The sequence below is a fragment of the Homo sapiens genome, chromosome 10, assembly GCF_000001405.40.
Source record: "Homo sapiens chromosome 10, GRCh38.p14 Primary Assembly".
NCBI classification, from domain to species: domain Eukaryota; kingdom Metazoa; phylum Chordata; class Mammalia; order Primates; family Hominidae; genus Homo; species Homo sapiens.
The window spans coordinates 19789834-19802157 of NC_000010.11; the positions used below are offsets into that span (position 1 = coordinate 19789834).

The 12324-nt window shown below is 37.2% G+C and overlaps 1 pseudogene; it reads right to left on the reverse strand.

Annotated features, from left to right (window-relative positions):
• Positions 3165–3268, reverse strand: RNU6-1212P (RNA, U6 small nuclear 1212, pseudogene; annotated as a pseudogene).

A 12324-nucleotide genomic window follows, 5' to 3' on the forward strand; every position in this document is an offset into this window, starting at 1 on the left:
AAGACAGTCTAAGGAGGCTGAACTCTAGTGAAGAGCATAACATCTCGGAGAAAATAATTTTGGCGACAAAATGGAGAAAGGATGGTAGGAAGAGGTATAACTTACTCATTGTAACATTCCAAGCCTGAGATTTCAAGTGCCTGAAATAATAAATTTGGGATGCTTATCTAAGCACTTAGTATTTCTGATATAAAATAATACTGCATTTCTAGTTGCAGTAGAGTTTACCATGTGGTTCTATATTATTTCATTTTTACAACCACCTTCTGAACTAAGGAAGGAATTGTTATTTTTGCTTTACAGAGGAGAAATGTGATGCTCAGAGGGTGTGGCTGACAAGCTCCAGGACACAGGTAATAAGTAAAATCTAGATCTCGGGTCTTTCAATTGAAACTAGAAACATAGGAAACAACAACAGAAGTCACAACAATTTAACAGTTATTTAGAGGTGTCAGTGATTTGGGATTTAAAAATATGGAATTTAACATTTCTGGTTTCAAAGTCAATACACAGCTTCCATATGACACTATAGAGTAAGTAAAAAATAAAAGATAATTTATCTGATGTATCGTTAATTGTGCTTTAATAATTCTCATGTTATTGGCTTGGGATTATAATTGGAAATTATATCTGAAAGTAATAAAATTATAGTTGATGATAGAATGAGACAGTCTTTACCCACCTTTCCAAAATTCAGATGGCTTTCCAAATTTTATTTTTAAAATGTCCACCAAATAATTTTTTAAAAGATTAATAGGTTCTCACAGAGCACAAATACATAAAATAATGGCTGCCTTTTGAAAGATTACATTGTTTTCATATATCTCATTAGTATTTGAGGAGAAATTAGGACTTGTATTTTCTCACAAAATGTGAAGGGAAAGACTCTAATAGCATTTTAAACCACCAAAAGGGCATGATTGATTATTATACTCATGTGGTTGAATTTCTCTAAATTTTGCTTTTTAATGAATCTTTAAATTATAGTGTTAATAGTTACACTTGTTAATTTCAATAGACTATTTTCTGTAATAGAAGAAGAATAAACATGTAGCATAACTAAAGAAAAAAAAAGAAAATCAAGTGAAATGGAAGAGTAAATGATAAATTCTCCAGTCTCTGTTCATCTCATCCAGTCTTTGTTAATCTCATGGTTGAGACCAGAAAGTTGCATGTCAGTCATTTGGTGTGTACTACATATACTCTGACTTAAAAGATATCTGGAATGATACAGCATCGGATTGTTCCTTCTAACACTTAAGTGTCCTTGATACATAGAAAAGAGAAGAAAGTGCCAATCAGGCAGATTAAGACCTTTACTTACAAATGATTCATTTCCGTGCTTGCTTAATTTCTAAAAGTAGGTATCTGGGTGTTGTCCAACAAAATGAATGGAAAAATCCCAGCCTGCATGATATGTACATGTGAGACTGAAGTCACCTGATAACTGGGTCAAGAATTCATGTTACACACTGAAGGATGCACTTCAAACACAGGCTTATACTTTACACAGCTTAAAAATAATAGTTAATAAGAAAACAACTTTTGAGAAGGGCTAATTTGCTTTGTAGTCAATTCCATCCAAATATGTACATAATAGTTTATATATGTGTTTATAAATGTTATAAAAGTTGAAGAGATATCCTAATTTCCCACTGGTTTGTTGACCACATCTTTATTCCCAGAACCTATGAATATCTTACTTTACATGGTAGAAGGGACTTTGTAGACATTAATTTAAGCACCTTGAGATGGATGATTCTGGATTATTTGGATAGGCATGATATAATCACAAGAGAGAGGGAGGAGAATCAGAGTCAGTAGAAGAAAGTGTAACAATGAGAGCAAAAGCCTGGAGCTATGCAAGGTTCAGGCCACGAGCCAATGGATGCAGGAAGCCTCCAGAAGCTGAGAAAAGTAAGGAAAATGTATTCCCCCAGAGAAGAAATGCAGCCCTGCCAATATCTTGCTTTTTCCCTGGAGACCCATTTTGGACTTCTGACCTCCCACCAGACTAGTAAGGTAATAAATTCATGTTGTTTTAAGACACAAAGTTTGTGTTTATTTATTTATTTTAGAGACAGGCTCTCGCTCTGTCCTGCACGTTGGAGTGCGGTAGCACACTCATAGCTCATTGCAATCTCGAACTCCTGGGCTCAAGCCATCTTCCTACGTTAGGCTTTCTAGTAGCTAGGACTACAGGCTCATGCCACCATGCCCAGCTAGCTTTTTATTTGTGTTATTATTATTATTACTATTATTATTATTATTATTATTATTATTATCGTAGAGATAGGCTTTTGCTATGTTACTCAGGCCGGACTCCAGTTCCCCAGCTTCAAGCAATCCTTCTGCCTCGGCCTCCCAAAGAACTGGGAATACAGGTGTGAGCCACCCTGCCAGACCTGTGGTAATATATTACAGCAGCAATAGGAAACATACTGAAAGTAAGATTTCCAAATAAATGTATAATAATCACATAACTTTGCTATAATTATCTTAACCATTTCTGTATTGTTCAACTTTTAGCTTGTTTCCATTTTTTTCTATTATAAATAGTGCTGAAGTGAATATCCTTATGTATAAATCTTGGCATACACTTCTGATTTATTTTCTTTAGATTAAAAAACTGGAAATGGCTTGGAGCAGTGGCTCACACCTGTAATCCCAGGACTTTGGGAGGATGAGGCAGGCAGACTTGCTTGAGCCCAGGAGTTTGAGACCAGCCTAGGCAACACGGTGAAACCCCGTCTCTACCAAAATTACAAAAATTAGCTGTGTGTGGTGGCACACATCTGTGGTCCAGCTTCTCAGGAGGCTGAGGTGGGATGATCACTTGAGCCTGGGAAGCTAAGGCTGTGGTGAGTTGTAATCGGGCCACTGCACTCCAGCCTGGGCAACAGACTGAGACCCTGTCTCTAAATAGATAAAAAAATAAATAAAATTGGAAGAAATAAGAACTTGGAAATGAAATGACTGCTGTAATATTTTAAAAAATATTTAAACACAAAAATCAGTAAAGATACAACTAACACTTAGATTCATACGTGAAGATGAACTTTTATTAATATAAGAAGTAAAATATTAGTGATAGAGATGAAGTACCCTTTAATCCCCTTTTCCATCCTCCCTCCATACTCTCGTCTCTTCCAACACAAAGATTGAAAAATGTGGAATGATTCACAAATGTGTGAACCACCCTTGCACATGGACGATATTGATCTCTGTGCTGTTCCAGTTTTAGTATATATATTAATGAAGCAAGCACCAAGGTTTCATTTTATTCTTAAAAACACCCTTGAAGAAACTAGCCAAGGTTATACATTATAGCTTCTTTATGACAATAATCTTTTAGACTCCAAAATATCTTCATAGACAAGAAAAGGCAAATGCAGGCATTAAAAGAAGGAAGAATGAGAAAGAGAAGGGCAGAATTGAATAATGAGCTAATTGGAGCTATTTTTTCTAGATAGGCATTTCATTTTCACTGTTGATTTTACCTTACATTTAAAGTATGAAAAGTTAAAATTTTAAAAATCATCTAATTATGCATTTACAAACCGTTACTAATTTTGTCACCGTTCCCAAATTAGCCAGACTGGTCTCTGTTCTGAGCTGTGAAGAAAAGGCAATAAAAAGGATATTGTTCCCTTTACTGTAACTCCACTGTTTTATTCAAGTGTCATTGTGGCCACTTCACAATCTGATTTGAGAAGAGGTTCTGTCAAGCTTGATCATAATTTGGATGAACTCTCTACTTATGCAGAACCCAGCTCTGTTATGAGGATCAGGATTCATTCCAGCTGTAGAATATCACAAAACTAGAGGGTGACCTATCGGAATCCCCAAATTAAAGAACATCTAAAATATAAGATATTCTCAAGGTCTGTAACTTTTTAATAAGTTTTACATTCCAAACTGTGTATATGACAGTATCAGTTTCTATTGAACAACTACTTTGATTCATTTGGAAGAACAAGTATCAGACCCTCGTCGATCTAAATATTCTCCAGCCTTGGCAACATGGTGAAACCCTGTCTCTACTAAAACAACAACGACAACAACAAAAAAAATACAAAAATTAGCCAGGTGTGTGGTGTGCACCTGTAGTCGAAGCTACTAGGGAGGCTGAGGTTGGGGGATCACTGGAGCCCAAGGGGTGGAAGTTGCAGTGAGCCAAGATCATGGCACTGCACTCCTGCCTGGGTGACAGAATGAGACCCTGCCTCAAAAAATAAATAAATAGGCTGGGCGTGGTGGCTCACTCCTGTAATCCCAGCACTTTGGGAGGCCGAGGCACGTGGATCCTGAGTTCAGGAGTTCGAGACCAGCCTAGCCAGCATGGTGAAACCCCGCCTCTACTAAAAAAAAAAAAAAATTTTTTTGCCAGACATGGTGGCACGCAGCTGTAATCCCAGCTACTTAGGAGGCTGAGGCAGAATTGCTTGAACCCGGGAGGTAGAGATTGCAGTGAGCTGAGATTGTACCACTGCACTCTAGCCTGGGTAACAGACCAAGACTCCATCTCAAAATAAATAAATAAATAAATAAATACATATTCTAACACAAGTTTTAGATAATGTAGTTTATATAAAAACAAGATATAAATTTACTGCTATTTAAATGATGCATTTGAATTAATTCCTATGAAGTATTTTACATAACCAAAAGCATACATCACAAAGCTAAAAATTAGTATTTGGGTAACAGTGAACCCTTAAAACACAAAGTATTTATTTCTTACAGTCTGTACTATTTTCTCAGATAAAGCCATGAATAATGTGTTTTTTCATTGCTTTCAATAATTTAAAAAGTTGTTTAAAGCTAAAATAAATAATCAAATAATAGATGTCATTATATGTATGTATAAGCAATGAGAGATTTTATGTGTAATTAAAGGGCTAGTTTTCCAAGACACCAATTATATCCCTGTTTAAAATAGTTACAATATGAATAATGCACCGCCTTCTGTAGGTATGTTTTACTTATTCTGATAAATGAAGCAAGGAAGAAGAAAGTTTCCCTAAATACCTCTAAAAAATCCTATAGGAGAAACTATTGTTTTAGAATCAAAAGGATTTAAGCTTTGACTGGTAACATATAAACATAATCAAGGAGGAGCCATTTAATAAGATGGGCTGGTCTTCAACTTACCTGTTACTGTCCTTCCTAAATTCTGAGTAACAACTCATTATATAAACGGATTTCATCTTAGAGGAATGTGCTTCATATTTAATTTTTAATGTATGCTTCTTACTTTCTAATCCAAATAAAACACACTTCAGAAATATAGACACTGATGCCAGGCGCAGTGGCTCATGCCTGTAATCCCAGCACTTTGGGAGGCCGAGGCCAGCAGATCACCTGAGGTCAGGAGTTCAAGACAAGGCTGGCCAACATGGTGAAACCCTGTCACTACTAAAAATACAAAAAATTAGCCGAGTGTGGTGGTGCACGCCTGTAGTCCCAGCTACTTGGGAGACTGAGGCAGGAAAATGGCTTGAACCCAGGAAGCAGAGGTTGCAGTAAGCCGAGATCACACCACTGCACTCCAGCCTGGGCAACAGAGCGAGACTCTGTCTCAAAACAAAACAAAACAAAACAAAAAATGTAGACACTAGAGAAGTGTAAAAAAAAAAAAAAATCATTCATTAGCTAGACACGGTGGTTTGCTCCTATAATCCTAGCTACTGGAGAGGTTGAGGTAGAAAGAAAACTTGAGGCCAGGACTTCAAGACCAGCCTGGGCAATCCCATCTCTACAAACAATAAAAATAATAAATATTGTGCATTATTATTTTATAGAGGTACATTTTCTTTTAAGGTTATCCTCATTCATCATTAACATTCGGGAGAGAGTATAAAAAATTCATTCAGATACACGTGTATAATGGAAATTTATTGTGATGTCTTTAACCTAGGGTTGTTTTGGATGTGTTGTGTTAGGATGACTTGCATCATTTAATCACCTAAAACGCTTGTTAAAAAAGTACTTACCCACGTTCCGCCCAGAGTCAGACTCACTGAATCAGAATCAGAATCACCAGGCCGGGTGTGGTTCAGAAGTCTGCATCTGAAACAAGACTATCTGGTGATACTGGTAGAGGCAGTGGAAGGAGGGACCTCCAAGCAGCATTGCTTTAGGGGCTGATGTCAGATTTATCTAAGGTTTGCTCTATAAAGCTCCCTTATAGTACATTTCAGTGTAATACCAGAGGATCTCTATTGTGTATTTTGTAAGGTTTTTTTGTTTTGTTTTGTTTTGATGGAGTTTCGCTCTTATTGCCTAGGCTGGAGTGCAATGGCACAATCTCAGCTCTCTGCAATCTCTGCCTCCTGAGTTCAAGCGATTCTACTGCCTCAGCCTCCCAGTAGCTGGGATTACAGGCGCTCCCCGCCACGCCCAGCTAATTTTTTGTATTTTTAGTAGAGACGGGGTTTCACTATGTTGGCCAAGCTGGTCCTGAACTCCTGACCTCAGGCGATCCACCCGCCTCGGCCTCCCAAAGTGCTGGGATTACAGGGGTGAGCCACTGTGCCTGGTCCATGAGGCTTCTTTTTAAAATAATGATTGACAAGGAATGGAACTGCCCACAGTGGCAGTCCTTATGGAGTCACTAAATTAGTCCTATCCCCAATTTGATACTAAGCCATTCAAAGCTACTTAAATGCTGACTCCTGCAAGCAGTTGTGTAACAGCACTGATTAGCCATTATACATGATTGATATTTTGTGTGCTATTTAATGTTCTCTTTTAATAAGCATAAAAATCTAATTCCTTTCTCATACACCCCACTTCCAGGGTATGGCAGCTACACCACAGCCCCATTAAGAATAACTATCTTTTTTGGCAAGGCATGGTGGCTCATGCCTGTAATCCTAGCACTTTGGGAGGCCAGGGAAGGAGGATCACTTGAGTCCAGGAGTTCGAGACCAGCCTGGGCAACATAGTGAAATCTTGGCTCTACAAAAAATAAAGATAAATAAAAATTAGCCAGGCATGCTGGCACACGCTTGTGGTCCTAACTACTTGGGAGGCTAAGGTGGGAAGATCACTTGAGCCTGGGAGGTCAAGGTTGCCATGAGCCATGATAGTTGGGTAAGACTCCCAACTTCCCAAAAAAATAAATAAATAAAAAATAAATATATATATATGTGTGTGTGTGTGTGTATATATACATACATACATATATATATATATATATATATATAAAAGCCAAGTGTGTTGGTCCACACCCATAGTCCAGCTACTTGGGAGACTGAGGAGGGAGAATTGCTTGAGTCCAGGAGGTCAAAGTTGCAGTGAGCTATGATTGTGCCACTGCACTCCAGCCTGGTCTCCAGAGTAAGACATGGCCTCAAAACAAAACAAACAAAAAGGAATAACTATCTTTTTAATATTCCCATTAATTGAGATTTTATTTTGGAGTTTGTGTTTTTAAAAATAGACTTCTTTTGTTTCCCAAAAGCAAAACTATAACATCATTTCTTTTTCTATCTACATATAATTGAAACTACCTTTGCAAAATTATGACAGAGAAATCTGACATGGTTGACTCCATCTTGCTTCTGACCTCCAAGCTGTCCTTGGTCATTCCTGGGCATGGGCCAAGCTAACTTTGGGAGAAATCTAGTTTATAGTTTAACTTGAAAGCAAAGATGATAATGGTCCCTCCCTAAAACTAATCCCCTCCTTGTTCAGGGGCCCAAAACCACCTTTGGAAGACTAATAAAAGGCCACAAGAATAGGATTATGAGAGGTACCTGAATTATGATAAGATATACATAGTTTCTATAATCTTTTATTGCTCAGGGCTTCTGTGGCCAAAGGTCACAAGATATGTGAGTTTCCCAGTTGGTCATATAGAGAACATCACTATTGTAGAACCTAAGATTGGTTTTCAGAGATATCTTTCAGACTGACCCCACCAGGACTCCTGACTCATGACTGGACTGATCCTGTGGTCCCACCCAGAGGCAGACTCAGTGCACAAGGACTGTTTTCCACACCCCTATGAATCCATCCCCAACCAATCAGCAGCACCTATTCCCTAGCTCCCTACCCACCAAATTATCCATAAAAACTCTAACCTCTAAGCCTTTGGGGAGACTGATTTGAGTGGTAACTCCAGTTCTCCCTCAGGGGCCAGCCTCACATCAGTTAAACTCTTTCTCTACTGTAATGCTGTGGTCTCAGTGGATGCTTTTCATTTGTGCAGTGGGCAGGAAGAACACTCAGATGATCAGAGTGCTTTTCCTAAAATATCCTCAGATTTGCAGGAAATAATGACAAGTTCATCCTGTTGAGAATCACATTTATGTAAAAACCTCAGGGCCAGGCATGGTGGCTCACACCTATAATCCCAGCACTTTGGGAGGCTGAGGGAAGAGGATCACTTGAGCCCAGGAGTTCAAGACTAGCCTGGGCAACATAGTGAAATCCTGCCTCTACAAAAAATAAAAATAAACAAAAATTAGCCAGGCATGGTGGCACACACTTGTGGTCCCAACTACTTGGGAGGCTAAGGTGGGAAGATCGCTTGAGCCTGGGAGGTCAAGGTTGCAGTGAACCATGATAGTGCCATTGTAATCCAGCCGGGGTGACAGAGTGACACCCTATCTCAAAAATAAGTAAATAAAATTCAGATACCAATGTGCATCAAATAAAAATGCAGATACCGAGTCAAGTGGCCATTATTAATCTTGGATCTAATTTTAGAGTTTATAAAATTGGCTACACAAGTCTTGAGGTTAGTTAATGATGTGAGGACTCTTGGGTATCACTTGAAACCAAGAGAGGGATCATTATGTGGTTGTAACTCTATGTCTATCCTCTGATCATATTATGTCTGTATCTCTCCCTGTCCTGTATCTGGAATCATTCTTTGGTGCTGTCTCCAGAACTACACGTCAGTTATCTCTGATCCATCTTTTGCTAATATATATATCTATCCAGAGTATGCTCAGTTGTTATAGCTTCTCATAGATCTTCAGAGTCTTTGAAATGTTACCTCTTGATTTTTATCTTTCAATGAACTTCCTCCCACTCAAGCATGGAGTTGTTTGCTCCTACTCCTCTTACACATCCTCTATCTTCATGTTCAGATACTACCAAGGATAGTGTATGCACTCTGTACTGTAGTGCAAGCATTTCTTGTCTAGACTTTGATCTTGGTTGGCCTTCATCAAGTAAATTTAAAAGTGAATTCTCAGGTCCCTAAGCAATATATCTGTTTGCTTTCCCTTCCACACAAAATAGAAAGTTTGAATGGTCTAAGGGGATTAATACAAAACACTCTTGTAGTAGTCCATTTTCACACTGCTGTTAAAGAACAACCTGAGACTGGTTGATTTAGGAAAAAAAGGGGTTTAATTGATTCACAGTTCTGCATGGCTGGAAAGATTTTAGGAAACTTACAATCATGGCAGAAGACAAAGAGGAAGCATGTTTTACATGGCATCAGGAAAGAGAGAGTGAAGGGGGAAGTGCCACACTTTTAAACCATGAGATCTCATGAGAACTCACTCACTATCACAAAAACAGCAAGGAGGAAATCTGATCCCATGAACCAATCACCTCCCACCAGGGCCCTCCTCTGACACGTGGGGGTTACAGTTAGAGATGAGATTTGAGTGGGGACACAGAGCCAAACCATATCAACTCTCCAGTCCCTAAAATAAAGTAAGTAACTAACATGATCATCTTAATCCAATACATTAAAAAGCTCTTCCCTCTCATTACCACAGGATTTAGAGGTTATGGAATATTTACAAGATGTACAATGAAAATATAGAGATAATGTTTTTTATTTGGGGGATCTGTTTATTTTATTGAAGCCCCCAAATCGAGATAGAAATTCAAAATTTCAAAACCTAAGTCATACTGACTAATGAAAAGACAGGAAAAGCATAAAGAATAATAAATAGAAAAATGAACTGAAACTAAAATGCTATTAGAAAAATTTTCGGTAAGAAAGTCACTGAACTATTTTCAAAGTGACATATCAGAAAAAGAAACTTGCAAATAGCTAAAGCTAGTGAGGCAGTCCCAAAAACCAATAAGGAGAAAAATCATCCTAAAAATGATGGATGATTTAGTCAGGGCAACTAAAATTAAACCAGAAAGAGAGAACACACACAGGTAGTGAAATATGTCAGACCACATTCTGTAGAACTAGAAAAAAATGGGAGTATTGAATTCTTTAATAATAAATGGAATCCTCCAAGTATTAAAAGAAACTAATAGACTTTTCCAGTTATGTGCAAAAGACATTCATTAACAATAGCACATTAGCATTCATTAAAATTTTTCGGATGCTCTTAAGAGATTCTAAAGCTTTCATTTGCCTTTTAATACACAAATTACGCTGTGATTTGTCTGTCATTTTAAGTAGATCAGAGAATACCTGAGTTTCACTGTTCCTTCATCTTTTGCAGGATTTCAATAAATAGTGCATACATATTTCAGTGAATTAGTCATGATTAAATAATACTTATTTCTACTGGAAAAATGCATTGGTGGCCAAATTCCGTGACTTCTTAAGTACTTGGCCCTGACAAACTCAATACGAAGCTATAGGAAAGTTCAAAGTGTACAATAACATATTACTTGAAAGTTACATATTACTTTTTTGCTCTCATGGCTTTTCATCATATTATTATTAGATCAATGTAATATTATCATATGTATTTCTCTGAAATATCTCCCATCCTTTTTTTTGTAGTTAACTTGTAGGATATTATTAAGTATGTATGTTATATCGTTATACATATATAACCATGTATATAACTAATGGTTATATGTTTTAGTTTTGTCAATTTTTTTCTGCTATAAGTACAATTTCAGTACTATTATGAGCCAAAAACATATTTTAGACTGTCCTGGCAACTTACTTTGGTGTTGACATACTTCATAACATTTATCACAACATATTTGCTAATGGGAATATAGGTTGCAGGTTAAAAATTAAAAATGACAGACATGGACCTTTGGAGCATAATGCCTTCTGAGCCAAGATTTTGTATATTTCTCTTTTGAAAGATGCTACTTAGTTCTATTTGGTTTCATAAACTGTGAAAAGAAGTCTTCTGCCTGACTTGCCTGTGCCATCTGCATCAACTCAATCTGAAAGATATTTTCAACTTGTTCCATTAAAATGAGGGGTTGTTTATTAGCTTATTCTAAGCTGATCTCCCAAATATTTGTCTACGAATTCTCTCCTAGTATAACACTGTTTATCTAATTATTTAATACATTAAATTATTTATTTATTTATCAGAACAAGGAGGAACATTATATTGTTTTTAAATTTAGAAATATACGTTCAGATCTGCTAAGCATCACATGTGAAGTAAATATGATTTCCTATAAAATTCTGGGTTTACGAGCCTGGGCAACATAGTGAAACCCTGTCTCTACAACAAATACAAAAATTTGCTGGGTGTAGTGGTGTGTGCTGTGGTCCCAGCTACCTAGGGGCTGAGGTGGGAGGATTGCTTGAGCCCAGAAGGTCAAGGCAGCAGTGAACCAAGATCACGCCACTGCTTTCCAGGCTGGGCGACAGAGTGAGACCCTGCCTCAAAAAAAAAAAAAAAAAAAAAATAGGTTTTTCTTTTCATCCCGGCCATAAAAGAGGCACAGTGAAGAATCCCTGAGATGATTGGGTTGATATTAGCCTGTTGATGTGACTGTGCAGGAACTTGCTGAAGCCATCGAGTTTCAATTGGCTGCATACACAGCAGAAAGAGTTTTCACCACAGCCTTTTCTTGCCTTCTGAAGCTTTCACATCACATTACATGAGCAATCTTGACTCTTGTATATGTTGATTTTAATTATCCATGTCCCATGTGACATTTAGCCTTCATTCCTTAATAAAAGTGGATATGTTGTGATAATCCAGTAACATTTCTCACATTGAAATGGTTCATATCTGCAATCACATTGATATTAAATTTCCTTCCTTGCAGTAATATGTTTATAGCAAACTAATTCTGTGGTATTGTCTTAGTTGAGGATAAAAGAAAAATAGAATAGAAATGGAAGTGCAATATCTTAAGAAACAAAGTAGTAATATTTGAGGATGCAAAGGAGAGCTTTAGGGGAAAAAACAGATTGCCAGGAAAATTCTGAAGAAAGTGACAGTAGAAGAGTAGGTTAGAGCAAGAATGAAACCAGAGTAACGAGACTAAAAAGCAAACAAACAGGATTAATTAGTCTTTTAAAAAATTAAAATTGGTATATTGCAAAACCATTGCTATAAAGAATATATTATTAAGTAGTATTTAAGACTTTTGGTGTATATGTTTTACAAATCTTAATATTGA